A 27,060-nucleotide genomic window follows, 5' to 3' on the forward strand; every position below is an offset into this window, starting at 1 on the left:
ACAAGTTTTGCAATGGCAAGGCAATTGTCAGCCTTGAGATTGCAAAAACATGTGCTGTGAGTTTGGGGTATTCTCACTTTAAATCCCAGAATATAGTTTCCAGGAGGCAATGACTGTGTATTAACATGCAATGTGCATCAGCATTTAACTGTTTTCTCTTACCTCTGCAGTCCTCATACCATACTTTGGCTTCCAGCCTGTTCTCTCTCCTCAGCTGACTGGCCTACTAAGGGGGCGTGGCTTTGGGAGAAATTCCCAACCACTGAGAACATCTTGGAAATCCTAGGTCGGGCTAGGGGCAGTGGCTCACGCCTGTAATCCCAGCACCCTGGGTGGCTGAGATGGGCAGATCACCTGAGGTCAGGAGTTCAAGACCAGCATGGTCAACATGGTGAAATCCCGTCTCTACCAAAAATACAAAAATTAGCTGGGTGTGGTGACACACACCTGTAATCCCAGCTGCTTGGGAGGCTGAGGGGGGAGAATCTCTTGAACTTGGGAGGTGGAGGTTGCAGTGAGCCGAGATCGCGCCACTGCACTCCAGCCTAGGCAACAGAGCAAGACTGTCTCAAAAAAAAAAAAAAAAGAATAGAAGGAAAGACTCCTAGGTCAACCTTCTGGCCCCATTGAACTTGCTCTCATTTTATTAATTCTCTTTCCACTTTCTTGTCAGAGTTCCTTAATACAATTTTGCTTCTTTAAAGAAGATCCTTAACAATGTATTGTACACAGTACTTGAAAATTGCTAAGAGAGTAGATTTTAAATGTCTCACCACAAAAAAATAAGGTGAGATAATGCATATGCTAATTAGTTTGATATAGTCATGCCACAATATATACAAATATCAAAATATCACATTGTACACCATAAGTATATATAATGATTGCCAATAAAAATAATTAATTTCTTAAAAAAGGAGAGTCTTGGCTAGTCTACTGCATTTCAACCTAATTCTTAGGAACTAAAATCATAGCAGTGACTTGTGCATGTGTAGACCGTTCTGGCTTGAGTTGGCCAAATATTATCTCTCACTAGCATTAAGGAATTTCTTCCTCCTGTAATTCTGAAAGAACAGAAAACCATCTGAGAAAATTATATCCATCCTATTCCCAGAGAGTAGTGCCACTTTAGCAAAGTATCTTAACAAAGGGTTTTTAAAAATTAACTTAATAATTCCATTTAAAAATGTTTGTCTTAGTAAGTTAAAAGGTTATTCAGGACGTGGATGATTCAGGGTGGTTGTGTTTTATAAAGTGCTTTCCAAAGCAAACATCTATGACATTTTGAACATATCTTTTTTTTAGAGATGGATCTTTTTTCTCGCTCTGTCACCCAGGCTAGGAGTGCAGTGGCATAATCTCAGCTCACTGCAACCTCCACCTCCCAGGTTCAAGCAATTTTCCTACCTCAGCCTCCCAAGTAGCTGGGATTACAGGCGCCTGCCACCACACCCTGCTAATTTTTGTATTTTTAGTAGAGATGGGAGTTTCACCATGTTGGCCAGGCTGGTATTGAACTCTCAACCTCAGGTGATCTGCCCACCTTGTCCTACCGAACTGCTGGGAGCCACCGCACCCGGCTGCATTTAGAACATATCTACTTATTAAAGGAGAAGCCAAGCAGTAGCGAAATACACTAACTTATTCACAGTACACAGCTCGTCCCAACTGGAACTGCATAGTTGGGACTCAAAACCAGGCATTAGACTTCAAACCTCATTTTTTTCCTCAACATAACTACGCCTGCCACATCCAGAGCCAAGAGCCATTTCTAAGGGAAACTGTTCCATCTGGAGCCCCAAGAGCAGCCTTAGCCGACCATGGTGGTTTTGTTTTACCCCTCTCTGGTCTCCACGGATTGAACAGGATTGGGTAACTGACCCCAAAAAAAAGCCAATCCACAGATTGGTCAGCAGCCTGTAGGATGGCCTGGCACAAAAACTTTTGACTCAACAGAGGTGATCTGAGTCAACCAGATTCTAGCTGACTCTTGTTGCTTCTAATCAAGAGACTCCAGTTGACTCAATCTTTCTGGAGATAATTGTATACATTATTCTGATTAACTGATTGCGTAGAATAACCTTGTTCAACTTTCTATTTCACCACTCTTAGGAAAACATGTCCTAACAGAACAAGATATTACATGTTTGGAAGTTCCCAATCTTCTTAACTTCTGATAAACAGTTTTTCTTTTAGAAATACTTGCTCCTTTGATTCCTTGGCTCCACACAGTCTTGGTCCTCTATTTTTTGGTGCCTCCTTCCTCTATGTTCTAGATAATATGCTGAGTGTTTTACATAAATTATTTTATTGAAGGCTCATGACAATCCCATAAAGTAAACACTATCCCCATTTTACAGATGGAGAAAGCGAGGCACAGGGAGATACTGTTGGTCTGGATCAGGGTTGTGGTAGAGAAGGGAAGAGGACAGATTACAGATATATTTTGAAAGCAGAACCAACAAGGCCCGGTTGCTGAATTAGATGTGGAAGTGAGGGAAAGGACGAATCAAGGATGATGCTTAAGTAACAGGGTGAATTGTGTTGCCATTTGTCCAGCCAACGGCTCATCTCTAATTGGATATTCCAGAAGTATCTCAAGGTCAACATGTCTAAAACTGAATTCATCATTTTTTTTCCACAAGACCTTCTCTTTTTCAAATATTTTCTTCTTCAAAGAATTTCATCATCACTGTTATTAGTGGCAAGTGCTTTATAGAAAGGGATACAAATGAGAGAAACAATAAAAACTATAATAAACATTTTTCTAGAATTTCAAATTGTTTCCTCCCAACTTTTTCATTTGTTTACTAGGCTTTTAGCTCCCTCATTTAACCATAAGCTTCTCAGGAACAGAGCTTGTGTCTGTAATTAGACCTAACATTGATTGAGTATTTTCTAAATGTCATGGCTTGTGCTAAGCCGTGGCTGCATCACCCACGTAACTCTCCTTACAACCACGCCTCATGAGGCTGTTAAGAATAAGGTTAGACTGCCTGAGTTCAAATCCTGTCTCCGTCGTGTGATTTGGGACAAGTTATTCAACTTTTCTGTGCCTTGGTTATCACATGGTACTCTGAGAGTATAGAGGAAAGACATGTAACCCAGATAGATGAGATCAAAGAAGGCTTTCTAGAATGGAATGAAATGCCAAGTTAAATCTTCATTCGCAGAGCTATTAGGGGAAAGGTGTTGCAGGCAGAGAGAGCAGCTGATGTGAAGGCCAGGAAGTAAAGTGAAACATGGAGGTTTGATAACTGCCAGTGCCATTTATCAAGAGCAGGAAAGGGACATGAACGTAAATGTTTACAAGCACCAGGCAAGTAAGGAAAATAAGTGAGGCTGGCTGGGGGTAAGACAATGGGAAGATGTGGGTTCCTGAGGCAAACTGCTGAGCCCAGGACTCACCTGAAGGGGCCACCTCTACTGAGGTCACACTCCCCTCCCTCACCAAGTTCCAATACACTGCTTATACTGTCTGGAGGCTCCTTCACTTGCTATATGCTCCACCTGCAAATTGCTTTGCAAGGCTGGCTCCTGAACATCATTTCAGCTCAAATGGCATTTGAAAGATGCCTCCTCTGATTACCACCCACATGCCAGCTCCAGACCTGTCAGTACTCCACTCTAGTTTATTTCTTCTGAGCACTTACTATTACGTGAAATTATTTTGTTCATTTGTTTATGTGTACATTTTGTGTCTTTAATTGTATGTTGGGTATATAATATAAACTGTATTGGAGCAGGAAACTTTTCCAACACCTACAACAATAGCTGACACACAGTAGAAGCTCAACAAAGCCCATTTATTAATTTTGAATAATCAAGTGATGGTTTTATTGTACACTTACTCCGTGCCAGGTACAATGGACTACAGTGATAGATTTGACAATCATCAGAACATAGGTAGTAGCTAAAAACACAGGAATGTGTGAGAAAAGCCAGGGCATGTGGGTGGAGCCAAAAGATAACAGATCAAGAGAAATTCATTGTAGGCCTCAACATACAAAGAAAAACCCCAAAGAGACTGATCAGGATAGCAAGGGGAGGATCCAGGAAAGAAGTGGTATCACAGAAGCCAAAGGAAAACAGAATCCACAGTGTAAGTCATGACTTTATGAGATATTCTGCTTCTGGCTGATTACAATGTACAACAGATTCCTAGATATCTAAAGACTTCACTCATTGCTGTTTCTCACTGTGCCCATTTAGAGATCTCTCTGCAGAAAGTCTCACCTGTATATTTACCATCTGTCTGCATTTCCTGTGATATATCCCAATAGTGATGCCATGTCTGTTCTCTTTTTACCTTATTCAAATAAACTTTCCTACATTTTCACCTTTGGCAAACAAATTTCCATTCATATACCATACCACTACTCTGCCTCTCCTATAAAATTATTTATTTATTAACAAGACAGAATCTACCATACTTATATTCTGATCCTGATCTGCTCCCCAGCCATCAAAATCTTGATAGTATCATAAGTCTACAGTTTTCAGCCTGTGTTAAGTGAAGGTTGAAGCCATAAGCATCCTATCTGGCCCCCTTCTCAGCAAATATATATGTGTATGTATATATATATATGTGTGTATATATATGTATATATGTGTATATATATGTATGTGTATATATATGTGTGTGTGTGTGTATATATATATATATATGTGTGTGTATATAGGCACTTACAATCACCTAATATATGTGATTAAAAAAAACTGAGTTCAGGAGATGGGTAGTGACCAGAATGCAGATAGAGGAAAGATACGTGGTGATATTCTGATAGGTTGTGAGGGAAAGTTTCTCTAATAAGGTGACATTTGAGCAGAAATCCAAAGGACGTTAGAGAATAAGCCTTGTAGATTTCTGGGGAGGTGGGGGGGATGCTCCAGAGAGAGAGACAAAAAGAACAATAAGGTCAGTGTTTCTAGTGGAGAATAAGCAAAGGAGAGAGCCATAAAAGATGAGGGGTTGGCAGGATACACTGAAGAAAGCAGCACCTGCCTTCAACTTAGGAATTCTCCAAGTCTGACTTAGGAAGTAGTAGTGCATCCAAATAGTGCCCAGAACACAGCAGGTGCTCAGTAAACATGCATTCAATGAAAAAATCCACAAAATGGACAGAGAATTATTTTGAGAACAAGCCCTCGGGATACCAGGTGACTGAGTTATTAAATTTATTTGAGATATGGGCCATGTCCTTTATTTTTATGATTCTGAGTCCAGTGCCAGCACTCAACAAACAGTTGGTTGATTGAATAAAATAAAAAAAATAGTAGAATATAGGCATAGCATGAAGACAATGAAAGAAGAGGTGGTTGGTTATCTCTGGGTGATGGCATTAGAGATCATTTACATTTTTGAAACTTTACGTTCCTTAAAAAATTTCTATAATGAGCATGTTTTTCTGCTACAATTTAAAATAATATATTGAAATACTAAAATGAACCAGATGTTAAAGGCAGTAAAATCCATCTCCATTAACACTTCTTCAAGGTCCATACAGATGAAGCATTTGAGCCTCAATTTAACTGTTGGTTGGCTATATATATAAAAAAGTCTTAAAAAAAGCCAGCTCCCGTTTCTGTACATAGAGAACTGACCATTAAGATAATACAAGTAATTATATAGACACTATCCTACCAACACTCTAAAATGCTCTTGCAAACATATGTTTTAGCAAAGTAAGCCACAAAAAGCAGTGGTAGTACATTTCATCAGAACAGTGTCTTCTCGTAAACAAGTTGTCCTTGCCAAAGCTTACTGAACATTTAACTGCCTCTTGTAGTTATCCAAAATAAAATGACAAGTTTCTGTATTTCTCTAGCAAAATCTCCATTAGAAAGTAGGGACTGCCAAAGACAGACAATGCTCACTTTTAAAAACAGATGCTTGTAAGAATGAATCAGAAGGCCTAGCCCTTCTCAATGTATCTTCAGAGGTCTGTGTATAAGACTCAAACACTAGAGGAAGTCACATGACCAGTGAAGAGCTGGAGAAACATTTCAGGGGACTACTGATACTGTTTCAAATAAGGTAAGCCTTTTAACTAAAATGAAGGACCATGAGACACAGGAATAGGTGAATGGCTCTAATGTATCCCAAAGTATAGCCAGACTTACCTCTGTCTGTAAGTTTAAACCTGTGTGCTCTAGAGTGACCACAGAACAGAATGGGCAGAAGACAAATCACTCCTCTAAGGTCAGAGCTCACCTCCACCAAATCCCTGAATGTGATCTGTGACCCACCGAAACCATTAAAAACTGTTGGATGGCTCTAGCCTATTTATCTCTCTGGCCTTAATCGCTGCCCACCAAGACCAATGGCATTTGCTTGTAGGACTCATAGAGATGTGCTTAACATTTCCTTTCTGGCTAGATTCCCTATTTCTGACTCCTTCTGGATATTCTTGGGCTGAAAATCTCCTAGAATTCGGTGTTCAATCAAAATTGCTGTAAGTATACATTTTCCGTTGACTTCCACCCTAAGTTGAAAGTGAGTACCTGGGACTAGATTGCTTGTTTCCCCTCTATGCCTCTGTCCTTAGTCACTAAGCTCACTTACCTGCCCCCATCCTAGACTCTGAAGACGATATAGACCCTAAGTCAAGTGACCTAATCTATCCCAATTACTCAAGTCTCCGGTGGTTCAGTGACTTAGCAGCAAGCCTGCCCTGCTGATAATCCTGCTGTTCCTGTAAACTGCAGCCCTAATTATGGACTCTCTCTCCTATTTTATCACTGTGCTAGTTGCTGTTTGTTTGGAGAATTGTTTTGTTTTAATATGTTTGCTGGTCAGTTGCTCATCTTTTTTTTTCTTTTTTAACCGAATCCCTGCCTTCTTCTGCTAGTTCAGTAGTTGGCTCCTTCCTTGTTCCCTCATGCTTGAATATTTTTGTAATTCCCCAGTTCCTCTGAGATTTGAATCCTAACTTTCAGAGACTGGAGTCCAGAATCCTAGTTCCCATAGCCATGTCTTTACTACCTTCTAACAAATTAATGCTTAAACAAGCAGCCACGGGTTGGAGAGTCATCAGGGTTCCCACTGTCCATCGCCAACCTGCATGTCTTCCACATGCCAGGCACAGAAAAACTAAGGGCACCACAAGGAGCAAGACAGACAGAGCTCCTGGCTTCAGGGAGCTTACATTCTCATGTGGGAAGACCAATAATATATCAAATAAGCAAATACAATTCTAAGTGATGAGTGTTATGAACAAACATGCATGCTCCCTTGACCCTATGCCTACAGCTGATCCACTGTGATACCTCCAGCTTCTGTGCACTTCCTCCTGTGTCTGCCCACAAGAACATCCCTGGATATTCCCCTTGGGTAAAGCAGTTCCCAACAAAAATCTTCATATAATCTGGGTTTAGAGCTTTTGACAATTAAATTGTAAAAACAATGACTAACACCGTTTAATGCCGGCTGGGAATCCTTGAGCAATAATGGGATCTCCCCTTTCATATGATCATAGGAATCTTTCCCTTGCCTGGGAAGCCCCAGCCTTCACACGTGCAACTCACAGGACTCCTATAACTTCCTCTTCCTTGTGACTGGGCTACTATTTGAAAAAAACAGTGGCTGCTTATTCACAGAATGCAAAAGAAAGGCATGGACAGAGCACACATCACCAATAAAAGCCTTTTAAAAAATATTTTTGATAGCGAATTCAAGTACCCAATTTAAAATTCAAAAGCTATGAAAGGGTATAGAGTAAAAAGTGAGACTCTTCTCCACCCTTTCTTCCCAATTATCCAGTTCTTCTACTCAGAGACAACCAGCTTTACCAGTTTCTTGTGTGTTCATCAGAGATATTATATGCATATATAAGCAAACACAGAGTTTTTTTACACAAATGGTAGTAGACATTGGTCTTTACCTTCCCTTTTCACCAAACAATGTATCTTAAAGTTTATTCCATACACATAAAGCCACACCACCCTCTTTTAACAGGTGAATGGTATTTCAATGTATGGAGATACTGCAGTTTATTTAAAGTCTCCTATTAATGGACATCTAGACTGATTCTAATACTTTTTGCCTTTGCAAATAATGTTACAATTAACATTTCTGCAATACAGTCTTCTAAGAAGATGTACTCTAACCTGCAAATTCTATAACTCTGTTTTTAACTATCTAAATTTTGTACATTTGTAATTCTACTTACCAGTTTCCTTTTAAAACAACAGACGCTTGTATAGGTGAAGAGGATGCTGTAGTACACTTGAAATCCCAGGCTGAAAGAAAAATTTTAAAACTTCTGGGCAAGGCGAACTACAATGGAATGGCAGGTATGGTCCTTGTCGGGGTGGCAAAATGCCATCTGAGTATTAAGTGTTCACTGTTCTCAAAATTCCTACACTGGCCAAACATGGCTATAGCAGGGCAGTCACACTATCTGTTTCAGGTAGGAAATCCATGACCTCATGACACTAGCATATTTAAAACCTTGCAATCCTGTCTCTCTGGTGGCCTCCTACAAATACTGGGGAAAAAACAGTCATACTGCTGGTAAGGAATCTTGTGGTTACCCACCAAAAGAAAGAAGCCCTGAGATTGGTCAGCAGCACATTTCTTGTGTCCTCTAGTTTCCTTTCCCTAAGAACTCAGTACTAAAAAGGAACTCTAGCCAGTCACTGAAGCTTATAAGCAAGGATATATTTCAGCCCTCAGTGTCTGCCTTGTACACAGCAGGTGCTTAGTAAATGGTTGTAATGTGGTAATGCTTGACGTTTCATGGGTTGTTGGAATTAACCAGAACTTCTCTAAAAGACATAAAAGAAACTGTGAATGAAACATCAGAATAGTCACCTGGTTATGCGTGTGAAGCTCTTCAACTAGAGGAAATCAGGTGCTGGCCAAAGAGACAGAGGCGAAGGTGCCTCCGGGGAACTGCTGATATTGCTTCAACTAAGGTAAGTGTTTTGGCAGAAATGGCAGAAGCCTGAGACATGAAAGCAGGAGACAGAACTCTCCTGCAACACCAAGTGTAGCCATGGGGTCCACACGTTTTCAATGAGAAAACTCCTAAGGACACCACCGGAAAACCTCTAAATAGAACTAAAAGCAGTTGCCAGGAGGTGTGCCACCTGAGGGTGACCACCTGAAGCCCTGGGAGGTCTTAGATAAGGTGACAAGGTAATTGGAAGTTCTGGACTAAGGCAGCCAAGGTGAGATGTGAGGAGGATCTGAAACTCTACCTTTTAAGGCTCAAATGTGAATCTAGGTGTGTGGAAGTCTACCTAAGCGCCATATTTTGGAAGGTAGGACTCCTGCCTTTGTGACCATCCTCCCTCTAGCTGCTCTTTCCAAAGCATTTGCTTTTTACTAGTGAGTCTATTCCAAGATTTTGCCTACTCTGAAGCCACAGCCACTAGAGCTTTTTAATTATGTGCAATTCCAAGTCTCAATCCAAGGTCCAGACTTAACTTTGTAACCAAAAAAGATTTGGCTATCCAGAATCAATAATAGCTAAAGTGCCATATTTGCCTAATGCCTGTTTTGAAGTCTACTATCAGATGTTCAGAATTTGATCCTCAATTTTGCAATGATCTCTAAGTTTCTTTTCATTATCCTAACATCCTCTGAACCCATGAAAATTCTTCCCAATATATTCATTATCTCTCTCTCTCTCTGTCTCTTTCTCTCTAAGTAAATATAATTTGGGGGTAAAAAGAGAATATGAGTGGAATTCCCTAATGCCTATTTAATACTGAGTCATATAAACATTTTATGTTTATTTGAAATTTTCTTTCCACTCTGGTTTATTAAAGATGAACAGCCATGCCTGGTTGTTGTTATCATAGTGAAAATTTTAAATTTTCATACTGACGCTCTCAATAGTAGATAATGAATACTCTCATTTACTGAACTATCTGCCTTTTTGAGATAGGACTATAAAATATTTCCACATGCATATCCTGCTGTTAACTCAAATACATGCCTAAAACCAAACTATTCTGAACGTTTTTAAAAGTAGTTTCTGTACTCATACACTGCCCCTTTTTTCCATTAGTAATGCTACAGGTTTCACATTCGCACCCATGAAGTCATTTTAGACTTCTTCCTTTTCTTAAGTCCATCTCCACTAAGTGCACTCAATCATTCACAAAGCCTCTATGATTTGTATACCACAGTGTCTCACTAGCCCATTTCTTCTTTTCCCTCTCTCACTGTCCACTTCGTGATTTCAGGTCAATTCTCCCATATTAGCCTGCAAACTTGTTTCCCTCCATTTTCCAAACCATCCGGTGACCATCACAATATTGGTATTCCTCTAATGGGACATTATCACTTTCTGACCAAAATCCTTCCAGATTCCCTACTAGTACACAGACTACATGGAGCCAAATTCTCTCTTTCTCTCTCTTGCTCTCTCACTCTGTGCATGAGTGAGAGTGTATTCCTTGCTTGTTTTGCAAATCTCTGTAATTTTGTCCTACTTTTCCTTTCCAGCTGTTTGTTATCCTGTTCCCCAAATTTCCCTGGCACTCTTCGTATATGTTATCAATTCTATGAATATGTTCTTCCTTATCCTCTCCACTTATCAAAATACTACTCATTCATCACAATCCAGCTCAAATCTCCCCTTTTTGAAACCCCGACTCATCTTCTATGTAAGTGTTCCTAACCACCCCAACCTAAAGTGATTTCTCTGTCTTCTGATACCTCATGGCATTTATTACCTATACTCACATTTGACACCTATAAATTATCTTCTCTTCTTAGTTTTCTTTTAATTTTTCATGTGTTTTTATTTCTCCAAATAAATAGTAAAGTAATAAGGGCAGTTACTGTATCTTATTCACATAATGGGTCCTGATTCTAGAGTCAAATTGACTGCATTTTAGCCCCTGCACTGTTATTTACTGACTATAATCTTGGTCTTAGTTGTCTCGTCTGTGAAATGGAAATAGTGATAGGTGTTTCCTTATAGGGGTTTTGTGGGCATTATATGAGACAACGCATGCAAAGTGCTTAGAATAGTATCTGGAACATGGTAAGCATTCATTAAATGTTAGTTATTATAACTATTACTCATCTCTTTTACCTTGATTTTTAACCAAGCTTAATCAATGGAGTTCAGCTGAGTCAACTGTGGGATACAAGGTAAGAGGTAGACTGTGTGGGCAGTATACTGCGGAGTGGAGGAACTTCCTGGCATCACTAAAGCCGTGCCATAGATGCTGTCACTTATCGTCAAACAGCCAGTCTCGTTCTAAGTCCCTGCTAAGTCCCTTAGAGATCCTAAGATTGAGGGCCTCTAACTCTGCTCCAGAGACCTCCAAGGTTTTGGCACAGTGTAAAGGGGCTGCTTTCCCAGCCCCTACTTTCCTGCCAATAAAAATCTGACCCGGCTGCAGACAGCAGGCTACCAATCTTCCTAAGGGTCTTCAGGGTGGTATGAAAAAATGTGGACCTGGCCGGGCACAGTGGCTCACGCCTGTAATCCCAGCACTTTGAGAGGCCAAGGAAGATGGATCACTTGAGGCCAGGAGTTTGAGACCAGCCTGGGCACATGGGGAAAACTTGTCTCTACTAAAAATACAAAAACTAGCCAGATGTGGTGACACACACCTGTAATCCCAGCTACTGGGGAGGCTGAGGCAGGAGAATCGCTTGAACCCAGGAGGCGGAGGTTGCAGTGAGCTGAGGTCGCACCACTGCACTCCAGCCTGGGCGACAGGGTCAGACTCTATATAAAAAAAAAGTGTGCACCACAGAACCAGAGAAGGCAGCCTACCTGCCTACCTGCAATTTTATTTAATCGGCTTCATGACTGGCCTACTGACGTGGAAAACAGGCTCAGTAAGACACTCTCCTTTCATCTCACAGGCAGAGTCAGGATGCTCATGTGCACCAGCCAGTAGGATACTCTCAGCTGGGACCCCAACATCAACAGCTAAAGAGCAACTGATGCTGGCCAAAAAGATGGGGACATCTGTGCTGCTCAACTGAGCCATAAAGGCCTACATTTGGTAGAGAATATTAAACTGAAAATTATCAAGTTTGAACCCCAATAAGCATCATGAATATCACTACCATTAGGCAGTCCAAGCAAATTCAACAGATCCAGGCTTAAACCATATATATGCCCTACTGAAAACAACTCAGAGGCAAAACTAATTTTATGAAAGGTAAAAAGTTGATCAAAGGCATGAATCGTGGTCCAGTGAAACAAATGCGTCCTTTAGATGTAACAGACCTGAATACCTCACATTCAAGCTGTGTAACTGCAGGTAAATTTTCTAACCTCGATTTTCTGATGGATAAAGGGGTTTCTAATACCCAGCTCACATGGCTGTGGTGACAAACGGGACAGTGGATTTAAAGCAGGCTATTTGGCCCGTGGCATATGGTAGGGGCACAACCCATTCAGTGTCCCTCCCTCTCACTCCAGAAGCAGACTCATCCTGCCCTAGGCTGCTCGTAATGATTCCAAGGACAGGCGAATAAGGTTATTTGAACATTTCTGAAACATTGACTTAGTTTGTGCTGGGTGTTGTACGATTCACAGAAGTAGAAAGGCTCTCTGCTCCCGGTGCTTTTCAGCCTGCGATTCAGGCGCCCACCTCTGTGCAAAGGGCTGTTTCCTTCCGATCTCCTGAAAGAGATCTGGATGTATCTTGGGTTCAACCTCGATTTTGACACGATTGCCATTTCCATCAAAGCCAATTTCCTTGCTGAAAGAAGTCCTATCCCTGGGTGAAATCCCAACAGCTTCATTTGTTTAAATTCTTTTATTGGCCTTGCTAATGCAGGGTGTGGTTTTTCCTCATCACGGAATATTGATAAGTAAACAACTACGGGGAACCTGCCCTAAGAAGGCGGCCCGTCGATCTCCTTGACTGCCCGGGACATGATCAGTGTTACTGCTGGGTGGAGAAGGTGTCGCCGAGCGGAAAGGCGCCGTCCTGCACCAGGTCGGGGGAGAGGCGCGGGGAGGTCGGGACCGCTGGGTTGGGCCGGGGCAGGGAATAGGCGCGAGGGGAGGCGGCGCGGGAACCTCGGGCAGCCCCAGCGGCTGGGTCGAGCCCGACAGGTTCCAGCAGCTCCCCTCACCCCTCTCCACGCCTCTCGGGTTTTCCCCTTGGCTCAGGGTTTCCTGTTTCAGTTCTCGGCGTTCTCCAGCAGCAGGTGCTGGTTTGCCAACCTCGGCTCCAGAGGCGGCGACGGAGGAGAAGGAAAAGAGGGAAGGGGAGGAGGAAGCGGCGCGGCTGCGGTGGCTGCGGGCGGGCGGGCGGGCGAGGAGCGCGGAGCGAGGTGGCGGAGCCGGGTTCGCTCTCGCCCGCGGAGCAGCGGCACGGACGAAGGGCAGGGCCGAGCCGAGCCCAGCGCTCGGGCGCGCCCGAGCCGGGGCCCTGGCGTGCGGCCAGCTGTCCGGGCGGGAGGCATGAGGGAGCCTCGCGCTCGCCCCGCGCCCTAGCGGCGGCCGCGGCAGCCCAGGGCTGAGGCGAGAGGCGGCCGCCTGCCGGAGGGCCCCGGGGCTGCCCCAGCTCCAGGGCATGTAGTGATGGCTGCGGAGAAGAGAATGCAAGTAGGTTGAGCAACAGATTCGAGTGCGCGCGCGTTGGGGCTGTGAGTTGTGCAACCCAGGGAGGGGGCGCCGGGGCTGCGGCCCGCGGAGAGGGCGCGCGGGCGGGCGCGGCTTGGCGCGGGAGGGCCGCGGTGGCCGCTTCTCCGCGGGCCCCGCCGCCCGCTCGCCGCTTTCTCGCGGGGCTGGCTATGCCGGGTGGCGGCTCCCAGGTTTGTCCTCGGGAAGGGGGTGGGGGACGCGGACCGCGGCGAGAGTGGTCCTGGGGTAGCCGGTCGTGGGGAGGGCCGCGGGGCCGCGCCCGGGCGCCAGGCGGAGGGCGCCGGGGCCGCAGCGACCTCGCCGTGTGATCTCCAGGCCCAGGCGGGTCGGGCTCCGGAGGTCGAGTCACCGAGCTCCGGTCGCTCAGGTGGGGCCGAGCGGAAAGCCCAGCGCATCCTCCCCTCGGGCAACGCCGTCCCCGCCGGGATTTCGGGCGAGGTGAGGCCGGGCTTCCCGGCCCCGCGGCCTAAGGCACCGGTCCCCGCCCGCCCGGGGGCATAGATCGCGAACATGGAGGCGGGCTCGGGCGCCGCGGATGGAAACGGACACACTGCGCTGCCCCAGCGGCTCAGACTCGCGCGCGCTCGTGGGGCGAGACATCTCTTGGCATCTCGGATCCAGCCCTGGCCATTCGCTTAACTATCCATCCCTCCATCCAGATCGCCAGCAACCCCAGGCCGAGCGTCACGAAAGCCCCTCACTCCCCCCTCGTCCCTCCTTCACCCCCAGGCTCCAGTCCAGATCCCTTTTACACGCTGCGTTCATTTTAGCTCGGCTGTTCACATTTTTAACTCCGTATTAAGAAGTGTTACAAATATAACTTGGAGAAATGAATCCCGCATTTCTTCCCTAAGCTGTCTCATTTCAAGTCCTTAAAAACAGCCCTAACATCCAAGTACTGATTACTCTGTCTGGGGTTCTTGCCATTTGGTTATCCGTTAACAATCTCGGTTTGTGTTCGGTGTTTTGTGATAAAGAGATGAAAGACGAATCCAGATTTAGGAAAAGTTTTCCTATTGGTTGACAAGACTGTATTGGAGTATCCCAGGCCCATCAGGCGCTTATTGATTCAGACTTTTTTTAAACCATTTTAGAATAGATGCAGAGATAATTGGAGCTAAGTATTGTATGTTTAGGAATTTGGCAACGTTGTTCAGTTTTTCACTTGTTACGTGCTTGAGTTTTTCCACTTTTAAAATGCATATTATAAACGGAAAACGAGATAAACCTCAAACACAATTTTTGACTTTTCAAGAACCACAAGAAGTCATAAATACAGTGTGTTATAAATGTTTTTGTCTTAATGGACTTAGGATTTAGAGGGTATGACTTCCATTCATTTAATCACATGTACAATTAATTTTAGTAGCAGTTTCTTAAGTTTAGGGTTCTCTGTGTTTGACTACATGATAGCTTCATCAAACATTGGTAAAATTAATCTTAGTGTGATAAGCCCAGGAAGATGCCTATTTCGGACTTGACCCCCTGTTCACCTGTTTTCTTCAACAATTTGGCATGCTTATTTCCAGTTACCTAAATCTGTCTACTGGATGGTACCATAAAAATAGAATGGCCTGTTGACTATGTACCCATAGTTCAAAATGTTTTAATATTTTTACATGAAAGAGTCTATCTTACTTTCAAAGTAAGTTACAAGATTCTACTTCTAGTATTTGGTCACCATAAAAGTACTTAAACATTATAACCAAAGTAAAATGAACTTTTAAATAAACAACAACAAAGTGACTGGCATTTTTTAGCCTTTATTTAATAAGGGAAGTCTAACGGAACTATTTTAGTATAATGGGAAATATTAAAGGATAGGAAACAGAAACTTGGAATGTTTCTATACTGATGAGAGTTTTTATTAGTCACTTCCTTTTACTAAATTTTTGTTTTAATGACCAGACTATATAAAAATACCCTATTTTATATTATGGGCTTCTCTGGAGCTAGGTTTTCATGGGTTACCAACGTCTGCAAAATCGGATCCCAAGTTGTTAATAGAAATTTTATGTTTAAAACATTTTTCTCATTCTACAACTAGGTCTTCATTCTAGCAGACCACAGTGGTTGCTACATTAATTTTAATTACTATCACAGACGTAAAAATGTTGCTGTTATAACTTCTTAGTGTGTTTCATTGTTTTTGTACATAAATTTAGAATTCTTTAATTCTGATTTGATAGCATTTTTAAAGAAACAAACAAGGTATTAAGTAGGGAATGTTTTTATCTTTTTACTGTTGGAACGTAGAATAACACTAATCTGCAGTTATTGCTCATTTGAAACTGGTATGCTTCTGTTCTCTCTGCAAATAATTACTTATTATCACTCTAGCTGCTGTGTAAGGCCCCCGACCTCTAAAAGGATAGATTATGAACGAACATAATGCTATGTGGAAAGTACTAAGTTCCGTGAAAAAAGAAGTGAGAAATTCAGGTACTGGGGAGTGCCTCAAAGGTAGGATTTGAGTAGGTAGAGCTGGTTGGGAGTCATTTCCAAATGAGTCAGTGAACCCTGGAAGGAAAGCAGGGAGTGGGCGGTCCAGTATGTGGCGCATGGGGCAGATGATAGGAGTAGTGAGTGGGTAAGTTGGCAAATAGAGTTTTGGAGTATAGTTTTTATTAGAGCAATATTAAGTAAATAAGATGGTCAGTGAATAATGAAAATTAATTCAATCAGGATTCCAAATTTAAGCCTAAAATATTGAGATTCCGGAGTTTGATCGTAAATCTACCAAATGTTCTAAAAAAGCTTCTTGTGTTTTAAGTGCTAATATGCCTCATGGACCTGCAGCATATGAAATCTCATGACTTTACAAAGTGAAAATGTGTGAAGATTCAACAAAACACATGTTATAATCTCTGCTGCTGTTTTGCAATTAATAGTTCAGAGAAAGGATGATCAATCAAGAATGTGATTTTTTAAGAAAGATCTATTTCACCCCAGAATAGATCTCTAATTTCTTGGTGATTCAAGATTTGTTTAAAATTTTTGTAGGATTAGTGTGTAAATTAAATATCTGACACATAGTAATTTTTGGCATCTGATAGTATAAAGATAACTGCAGATATGTGTTGTGGCGGCATCAATTCTCTACTGTTGTTTTGGTTTTTATAGGTGACATAGTAATAGTCACGTTTGTACACTGATGTGCCAGACAACATGCTAAGTCTACATGCATTATCTCATTTAACCCTTGAACACCTTTATGCATTGCTTCTATTATCCCCAGTCTATAGATGCGGAAGCAGAGACACTGAGTTTGAGTAACTTGCCCAAAGTCATATAGCTAGTAAGTTGCAGAAAGGAGTTCAGACCCAGGCAGTCTGACTTTATAACCCATGATCTTAACCACTGTGCAAGTTCTGCCTCGATAGGATTCTGTTTTTAGTTTGTTCTCTAAAAAGTGTGTCATCATGTATGTTGTTTTGTTGACATACACCATTTGAAAATTAAGTGATGCATAGTGAGTATGTAAGACGAGAAGCCTTTCCTCTGCATAGTACGACAGTAGTAGGACAATACAGAAATCCTGTCTGGCCAGGTAAGTTGAAGGCAAGGACCGTGTCTTTTTGCCAGGCTGCTTGAGTTCACTACAGAGACAAATCAAAAGACTCCAGTTTCAGTCCAGCATGGCAAATGATGTAACAGCAGTGTAGTTCACAAAAAGGAGCACTTTTCAGTGAAAGCAACAAACATTCTTAATGAATAATATTTTTTATTGATTTTTATAACTTTTCTCAGACTATAGAAATGTAATGTGCTTACTGTGGAATAAATTAGAAAATATAGAGAGGTATAAAGAATTTTTAAAACACCTGTAATCCCATAATCCAGAGAGAACTCATTTAACATTATGGCAAATTTCTCTCTGTTTAATTATTCTTAGCATCATCAGAGGATTGTTTTACTTTCTTAAGGAAAAATGGAAACTAATTGCACCTAAAGTATAATGTACACGGTTTTACATTACAACACTGACAATAATTCTTATGCCCAGTAATGTAGCCTGAAGCAGAGCTCATAAGCAGATACCTGAACATTCAAAGCATTCTGCCTTTAAGATAAGTATCACATATCTTAGGGTGGATATGGAATAAGTAGAAAATCCCATGGTCTTCCTGCTTACCTGGAACATTTTAAACTATCTTCCCTCACCTTTTGCCTGGGTCACACCTTATTCAGCCCTCAGCTTAGATATCACTTGGTTTACTGCATTGTGGTTTAAGTTTGAGAACGCTATGAAACATTTATTGTGCCAAGTATTGTTCTAAGTGCTGTACATGTATTAATGCATTTAATGCTTACTACCTGCTTATGAAGAGGTATTTCAGTACCTCTTTTTTCAGATGAGAATACCGAACCACAATGTGGTCAAATAACTTACCCGAGTTCCCACAATTAATAATAGCAGAATGAGGGTTCCAATTAATTTAGCCAGGCTAAGTCCCTGTTAAAACAAATACAGTCATGCACTGCATAATCATGTTTTAGTTAAAAACAGACTGCATATATGACAGTGGTGCATAAGATTATAATAGAGCTGAAAAGTTCCTGTCGCCTAGTGATGTCATAGCCATCTCCTGATGTCATAGCACAAGGCATTACTCATATGTTTGTGGTGGTGCTGGTGTAAACAAACCTACAGTGCTGCTGATGGTAGAAGGATAATGAACGATTATGTTACTGGGTTATTTATTTACTATACTATACTTTTTATTGTTATTTTAGAGTGTACTCCTTCTACTTATACAAAAAAAAGTTAACTGTAAAACAGCTTCAGGCAGGTCTATCAGGAGGTATTTCAGAAGGCGGCATTATCATAGGAGGTGACAGTGCCGTGCCTGTTACCGCCCCTGAAGACCTTCCAGTGGGACAAAATGTAGAGGTGAAAAGCAGTGATCTTGGTGATCCTGACCCTGTGTAGACCTAGGCTAATGTATGTGTTTGTGTCTTCATTTTAAATGAAGTTTAAAAAGTAAAAAATTTTCTAGATAGACAAAAGCTTATAGAATAAGGATATAAAGAAAGAAGATATTTTTGTATAGCTGTACAATGTGTTTCTGTCTTAAGCCAAGTGTTATTATAAAACAGTCCAAAAGTTAAAAAATGAAAAAGTTTATAAAGTAAAAAAGTTACAGTAAGAGTAATTTATTGAAGAAAGAAAAATTTTTCGATAAACTTAGGGTAGCCTAAGTGTAGAGTGTTTATGAAATCTACAGTAATGTACACTAATATCCTAGGCCTTCACATTCACTCACCACTCACTCACTGACTTATCCAGAGCAACTTCTAGTCTTACAAGCTTCATTCATGGTAAGTGCCCTATATAGGTGTACCATTTTTATCTTATAGACTGCATTTTTACTCTACCTTTTCTATGCTTAGATACACAAAGACTTATTGTGTTACAGTTGCCTACAGTGTTTAGTACAGTAATATGCTGTACAGGTTGGTAGCCCCAGAGCCATAGGCTATACCATATAGCCTAGGAGTGTAGTAGGCTGTATAGCCATCTAGAGGTTTGTGTAAGTATACTCTGTGATGTTTGCACAAAGAGGAAATAGCCTAAGGATGCATTTCTCAGAACATAACTTTGTCAAGTGACACATGACTGTATTAAAGTCTGTGTAACCTAATACGTGTCAATAGATTTGTCTAGTATTGTGAGGTTTAAGCAAAATAATGAAGTCATCTTTCTTAGGAGTTTGGTTCTAAAAGGATACATCTTTTTCCTGTATAATTGGAATTATATTACTTGTAGAACTTGATATCCTACATTCGCTCTCTCATTTAACGTACACTAAGGATTTTCTCATGACATCTAAAAATATTTCTAACGTTGTGTTATTTAATCATTCTACTATTTCAGTTAGACATGTATTTTTTCCCAGTATTTTAATATTATAATGCTTTAGTTGACTAGCCCAGTGAAATTCCTTTTTCTGCATCTGTGTTCTTAGGATGGAGTCCTAGAAATAGTGATAAAACAGAATAAACTTGAAGGTTTTTTAATGCCAAAAAGCTTTTCAGAAAAGTTATATTGATATGTATAACCATTAACATAGAGTCAGAGTACTGATTTCATCCCACGTTTGAGCCACTAAGTATTAACTTTGAAAGTGCTTGATTTCAAAGTTTGATGATGAGCATTAATATCTCATTTTAATGCTGACTTTTCTACTTATATTTTAAATTATTAAGGGAGTACAAGCTGGTTAAGAAAAGCAAAGTACCGAGAAAATGAAAGCCACCTAAAATCTCCTTACTGAGAAATAACTTCAGGTTAATATTTTGATATATATTTACCCAATTATTTTTTTTATTCCTGTAGTTATACTTTACAGAATTTGTACATGAATTTTTAAGTAAAAACATTTCACAATTACAAAAATCAGCTGGGTGTGGTGGCATGTGCCTGTAAAACCAACTACTCGGGAGGCTGTGGCAGGAGAACTGCTTGAACCCAGGAGGCAGAGGTTGCAATGAGCTGAGATTGTGCCACTGCACTCCAGCCTGGGTGACAAAGCAAGACTCCATCTCAAAAAAAAAAAAAAATCACAAACATTTCCTAATCCCCCAGTCCTACACAAAGTAATTGGTAATTGCTTACTTCCCTGTGTTTCCAAAATACTTTTTTTCCCATAACACTTGCATATTAGATGATAGTTAACTCTTCTTCATTTCTTTTCTGCTTTCTGTCTCTGCTATTCATCTGTCAATAGAGAAAATACTACCTATAGATTAGTCATAAGAATTGATAGTACAAAATGATAATGATAGTACACCATACTGTACCTAGGATTTTTACCTTGTTAGTAGTCTTTAGGCTCCCTGAGGGCAAGGACTCTGAGCCACATTATTTTATCCTGATTATTCTACAGAGTTTGGCATATAGTAAATACTTAATGAATGTGTTTTTATTATTAAAAGCTATATGGTACTTTTTTTTTTTTTTTTGATACAGGGTCTCTCTATGTTGCCCAGGCCAGTCTCGAACTCCTGGGCTCAAGTGATCACCCGCCTCCACTTCCCAAAGTGCTGGGATTACAGGCGTGAGCCACTATGCCCAGCAAAAAGCAATGTAGTACTTTAAATGAATCTGCTGGTAAGTGGGTATGATAAACAAAAGGAAGTACAGGCATACCTCATTTTATTGCACTTCACAGACATTGCTTTTTGGTTCTTTTTTTGTTTTGTTTTGTTTTTACAAATGAAGATTTGTGGCAACCGTAAGTCAAGCAAGTCTGTCTGCGCCATTTTTCCAATAGCATTTGCTCCCTTTGTGTTGCTGGGTCACGTCGTGGTAGTTCTTGCAATATTTCAAACTTTTTCATTTTTATTTTATCTGTTATGGTGATCTATGTTCTGTAATCTGTGATGTCACTACTGTAATTTTGGGGGGGTGCCAATAGAAGATGGTAAACAATCAAGCAGTGTTGTGTGTGTTCTGAGTGCTCCATCGACCAGCCGTTGCCCTGTTTTTCTTCCTCTTCTCAGCCCCACTATTCTCTGAGACACAATAATATTGAAATTAGGCCAATGAATAACTCTGTAATGGCCTTAAGTGTTCAAGTGAAAGGAAGATTCAGGTTCTCTCACTTTACTTCAAAAGCTGGAAATGATTTAGCTTGGGGAGAAAGGCATGTGAAAGCCAAGCTAGGCCAAGAGGTAGGCCTCTTGCAACAAACAGCCAAGTTGTGAATGCAAAGGAAAAGTTTGAGGAGATTAAAAGTGCTACTCCAGTGAACACACAAATGAAAAGAAAGGGAAACAGCCTTATTGTTGATACGGAGAAAGTATCAGCTGTACTTTCTCTGTATTGCTGGTGATGGTCTGGATAGACAATCAAGCCAGCCACAACATTCCCTTAAGCCAAAGCCTATTCCAGAGAAAGGCATTAACTCTCCCTAGTTCTATGAAGGCTAAGAGAGGTGAGGAAGCTGCAGAAAAAAAGTTCAAAGCTAGCAGAGGCTGGTTCGTGAAGTTTAAGGAAAAAAGCAAGAGTGTTAGGTGAAGCAGCAAGTTATCCAGCTCTAGCCAAGATAATTGATGAAGGTGACTACACTAAACAGATTTTTCTATAGACTAAACAGCTTTATATTGGAAGAAAATGCCATCTAAGACTTTTATAGCTAGAGAGGAGAGGACAATGTCTGACTGCAAGGACAGGCTGAAGGACAAGCTGACTCTCTAAAGGACAAATGCAGCTGGTGACTTTGAGTTCAGTGTTCGTCTACCATTTCGAAAAATCGTAAGGCCCTTGGGAATCAATGCTATTTTTTTTTTTTTTTTTTGAGACACAGTCTTGCTCTGTCGCCCAGGCTGGAATGCAGTGGTGCGATCTCAGCTCACTGCAACCTCTGCCTCCCGGGTTCAAGCGATTCTCCTGCTTCAGCCTCCCGAGCAGCTGGGACTACAGGCCCGCGCCACCACGTCCAGCTAATTTTTGTATTTTTTTAGTAGAGACGGGGTTTCACCATATTGGCCAGGCTAGCCTTGAACTCCTGACCTCATGTTCCACCCACTTTGGCCTCCCAAAGTGCTGGAGGACTAAAAGCGTGAGCCACCTCACCCAGCCCAATGCTATTAATTAAATCTACTATGTCTGTGCTCTATAAGTGGAACAACAAAGCTTGGATCAGTTTACATCAGTTTACAGCATGCTTTACTGAACATTTTAAGCCCACTGTTGAGACTTACTGCTCAGAAAAAAAGATTCCCTTCAAAATATGTAATATTACTATTCATTGACAGGGTACCACCAAGAACTCTGATGGAGATTTACAAGGAGATTAATGTTGTTTTCATGCCTACTAACAAAATATCCATTCTGGCAGTCCAGGGATCAAGGAATAATTTTGACTTGCAAGTCTTATTATTTAAGAAATATATTTTGTTAAGGTTACAGCTGCCGTAGATAGTGATTGATTCCTCTGATGGATCTGGGCAAAATACACTGAAGACCTTCTGGAAAGGATTTACCATACTAGATGCCATCAGGAATATTTGTGATTCATGGGAAGAGGTCAAAATAGCATCAATAATAGGAATTTGGAAGAAGTTGACTCTAACCCTCATGGATGACTTTGAGGGCTTCAAGACTTCAATGGAGGAAATCACTGCAAATGTGGAACAGATAGCAAGAGAACTAGAATTAGAAGTGGAGCCTAAAGATGTGACTGAACTGCTGCAATCTCATGATAAAACTTGAACAGATGAGGAGTTGTGTCTTCTGGATAAGCAAAGACAGTGGTTTCTTAATTTGGAATCTGCTGGTGAAGATGCCGTGAACCATTGTGGAAATGACAACAAAGAGGATTTCAAAAATTCAACCTAGTTGACAAAGCAGTGGCAAGGTTTGAGAGCATTGACTCCAACCTTGTAAGAAGTTCTGTGGGTAAAATGCTATCAAACAGCGTTGCATGCTACAGAGAAATCTTTCATGGAAGGAAGGGGAAATCAATACAGCAAATTTCATTATCATCTTATATTGAGAAATTGCCACAGCCACCCCATCCTTCAGCAACCACCACCCTGATAAGTCAGCAGCCATCAACATTGAGGCAAGACCTTTCACCAGCAAAAGGAATATGACTCACTGAAGGCTCAGATAATCATTAGAATTTTGTGGCAATAAACTGATTTTAATTAAGGCATGTACATTTTTTTAGACATAATGCTATTACACATTTAAGAGACTATAGAATAGTGCAAACATAACTTTTATATTCACTGGGAAACCAGAAAATTTGCATCACTTGCCCTATTGTGATATTCACTTTACTATTACATTCACTTTATTACAGCAGTCTGGAACCAAAACCACAATATTTCCAAGGTATGCCTATGGATGAGTAAGAGATGGTTACAATAATACATGCCAAGCAGATAGAATTGATACCCAAACATTTAAAATTTAACTTGGAATGCGTTGTGTGATTTCTTGAGGGGCAATACACATTTGTCTTTGAAGAATATAATTAACCTTATTTACTTCTCTTAGTAAAATATTATAAAAGTGAATCTTCCAAAAAGGTAGTCTTTAAAGTTTTCAAGAGCAAAACATTTTAACTATTTTAAATGGAAGAATTTATACACATGTATATTTTTCTTCTTTCAAATAATATGTAGCCTATGATTTCACTTATTATGAAAGATAATAGTAGCTAACATTTATTGGTACTAACTTTATGCCAGGTCCAATATTGAGAGCTTTGCTTAAATTATTTAATTTAGTTTTGCAACTGTATTGGGTATGTACTGTTTTGCTTATCTTCCAGGTAATGGAATTGATGCCTGGAGATGTTAAGTAGCTTGGCCCAAGTTATTGAGTTTTTTTTTGTTTTTTTTTTGAGACAGAGTCTCGCTCTGTTGCCCAGGCTGGAGTGCAGTGGTGCGAACTCGGCTCACTGCAAGCTCCGCCTCTCGGGTTCATGCCACTCTCCTGACTCAGCCTCCCCAGTAGCTGGGACTACAGGCGCCCGCCACCACACCCAGCTAATTTTTGTATTTTATTAGAGATGGGGTTTCACCGTGTTAGCCAGCATGGTCTCCATCTCCTGACCTCGTGATCCGCCCGCCTTGGCCTCCCAAAGTGCTGGGATTACAGGCGTGAGCCACCGCGCCTGGCAGTTACTGAGATTTCTAATTTATCCTAAGTGGCATAGCAATACTTGTTATGCTTTTTGTTTGCTTTAGATGTTAGGGGGCAACAGGAAACAATTCTTTTTTTTTTTTTTTTGAGAATATCATAAGATTGCAGCAATTCAGTCATATCTTTAGGCTCCACTTCTAATCTGTTACCCAGGCTGGAGTGCAGTGGTGCAATCTTGGGTCACTGCAACATCTGCCTCCCGGGGCAGATGTTCCCAGCACAATTTTCGTGCCTCAACCTCTCGGGTAGCTGGGTTATGGACCAGCTACCCGACAGGCATGCACCACCACACCCAAGTAATTTTTGTATTTTTAGTAGAGACGAGGTTTTGCCTTGTTGGCCAGGCTGGTCTTGAACTCCTGACCTCACATAATCCACTTTGGGATCATTTCAGCCTCCAAAGTGCTGGGATTAAGGAGTGAGCCACCGCACCTGGCCGGAACCAATTTATATGGATTCATGTTAGTGATTTGGGGTCTTGTCTCCTTGATGTTAGCTGTTCCTTGCTGACATGATCGTTCCCTCCCTGTAATTTGCAGGAGAGACTTACGCTGTGGATTGTGAACCTGGATGACAACATGCTAACATTATATATTAAATTAAAAAATGTTCAGGCAGTAATTAAAAGCTGTAGGATACTCAGATAATCTAGGTTGAAGACCTGAAAGGCTACACAGTGTGGAGAGAGCAGGTGGGGCCTCTGAAATCAGGTAGACCTGGATTTAAATCCCAGCTCTGCCATTTACTGGTTGTGACCTTCAGCGAGAATCTCAATTTATCTTTGATTTGTTATCCATCAAACATGATCTACTTTGAAGAGTTGTTTTCAGTGATTCAAGATAATGAGTATAAAAGTGCTTGACACATAGAAGGCACTCAATATTCTGAAATGATTTAGCAGTGTCGTTGATTTGATTGAACAGAGATTTTGTTTTGCTTTTCTACTTACTCATTGGCTCTTAGTTGTGTTCTGAGTAATTGAAATAATCAGATACAAAATCAAGGTCACTTTTATTGCTTTTAATATGTCAGTTTATATTTTGGGTTTTTCAAAGAGATTTCAAATCTATTACTTTATGTCTTATAGGGTAAAGCTAAAATTAGTTTTTGTTCTTTGTTCTTAGTCATCTGTACTCATTTCCTATTCAAAATTATGTGGGCTTAATTTTATCCTTATTCCGTGATTTAATCTGTTTCAAATCTTGGCTTTTATTTTATAATTTATTTTTATTATGCACTCACAGGGAACAGTTTTCCCATATAGTTGAGGCTGTCTCCTCATTGTTGACTTACACTTTTAAAAAATCTTTGGCATCATTTTCTTTGATGGCCTCATTGAGTTGATGATCTTATGTACTGGATACTTTATGCAATTTTGATGTAATTTTAAATGACTAGAACAGATATTAAATGAGCAAAAAATGTCTGTTTTAGGTTAAAATACATTATTTCTAGTTTTGCTAAGATAGAAAAGTGCCTTAAGTAACAAAAAAATGGGCATAAAGTATGTTAAATCATGCATATGAAAAAATAGTTTCAAATGGGGGAAGTGTTTTCTAAACTACATTTCTATTACTTTGACTATTTCAGCTTATCTTTTAAGGTTAAATTTTGAGTTGTTTTAGCATTTTATTACATATGTGAAATATAGAAAATATAAAATGATAGTGAAAATCACCTATAATTCTTACCTAGAGATGACTTAAAATTTATAATTCTTTTTTTCATCTTTTAAAAAATCTATTAATCTTTATAAACACATTCTTTTTTAAAAGTGTATGCATATATAGTTTTGTTTGGTTCTTGCTTTTCATTCAGTATATCATAAGAGTCTTCCTGTGTCATAAACATCCTTTTAAGAGATTATTTTTATTAGCTGAATGGCATTCAACATATTTAAGTGCTGTAATTTAATTATGATATTTATTAAAATGTCACCAGTTTTTTAATTGTAATAACAGTGTGATAAATGTATATATAGGTCTGTTTAACATTATTGAATATATTTTTAACAAATTCCTAGATGTGGCCATGCAAACTGCCATCTAGAAAAGTTATACCAGCCGGGCGCGGTGGCTCACGCCTGTAATCCCAGCACTTTGGGAGGCCGAGGCGGGCGGATCACGAGGTCAGGAGATCGAGACCATCCTGACTAACACGGTGAAACCCCGTCTCTACTAAAAATACAAAAAATTAGCCGGGCGTGGTAGCAGGCGCCTGTAGTCCCAGCTACTCGGGAGGCTGAGGCAGGAGAATGGCGTGAACCCGGGAGGCGGAGCTTGCAGTGAGCCGAGATCGCGCCACTGCACTCCAGCCTGGGCGACAGAGCGAGACTCCGTCTCAAAAAAAATAAATAAATAAATAAATAAATAAATAAAAGTTATACCAATTTGTATTTCTGTCAGCAATGTATGTGTCCATTTCTCTGCACCCATCACTGTTTCCCCACACAGCCTATTTACGTTCATTTGATAGATAAGAATGGGCATAACAGTGCTAAGAAGCTCATTTTGTACAGTCAGAGAGATGGAGATTGAGTTCCTGCTGTGACACTTGGGGGTTATGTATGTGATCTTGGGTAGGTTTCTTATAAAATGTCCCTAAGCTTCAGTTTCTTTCTTTGTAAAATGGTGATAATAATACATATCGTGGTAATGTCATGGTAATGGTTGTAGAGATTATTTGATGGTATATATCGAAGCACTTAAATTCTTGAGAAATGTTAGCTATCATTTATTATGAATGTGATTCTCCTCATCATATGCTATATTTTATACTTGGTAGTGGCTGATATAAAAGAAAGTTATTTGTTTTTAT

At 40.6% G+C, this 27,060-nt stretch overlaps 1 protein-coding gene across 1 annotated transcript in view, besides 3 other annotated features; it reads left to right on the forward strand.

The window, feature by feature from the left end:
* Window positions 12,920-12,979: a silencer, noted in NCBI's record as "silent region_3883". NCBI's record gives its function as "represses an Ori minimal core promoter by ATAC-STARR-seq in GM12878 lymphoblastoid cells {active_cell/tissue: GM12878}" and the evidence as "EXISTENCE:reporter gene assay evidence [ECO:0000049][PMID:35858748]".
* Window positions 13,280-13,539: a silencer, noted in NCBI's record as "silent region_3884". NCBI's record gives its function as "represses an Ori minimal core promoter by ATAC-STARR-seq in GM12878 lymphoblastoid cells {active_cell/tissue: GM12878}" and the evidence as "EXISTENCE:reporter gene assay evidence [ECO:0000049][PMID:35858748]".
* Window positions 13,600-14,069: a silencer, noted in NCBI's record as "silent region_3885". NCBI's record gives its function as "represses an Ori minimal core promoter by ATAC-STARR-seq in GM12878 lymphoblastoid cells {active_cell/tissue: GM12878}" and the evidence as "EXISTENCE:reporter gene assay evidence [ECO:0000049][PMID:35858748]".
* Window positions 13,710-27,060, forward strand: part of ZC3H12C (zinc finger CCCH-type containing 12C) — a 78,450-nt gene continuing 65,099 nt past the window's right edge. The window contains exon 1 of the mRNA NM_033390.2: window positions 13,710-13,750. Coding sequence (NP_203748.1) covers window positions 13,730-13,750 — 21 coding nt within the window. The 5' untranslated portion in view covers window positions 13,710-13,729. The remainder of the gene's footprint in view (window positions 13,751-27,060) is intronic.

The sequence above is a fragment of the Homo sapiens genome, chromosome 11 (genome assembly GCF_000001405.40).
Source record: "Homo sapiens chromosome 11, GRCh38.p14 Primary Assembly".
In the NCBI taxonomy this organism is placed as follows: Eukaryota; Metazoa; Chordata; class Mammalia; order Primates; family Hominidae; genus Homo; species Homo sapiens.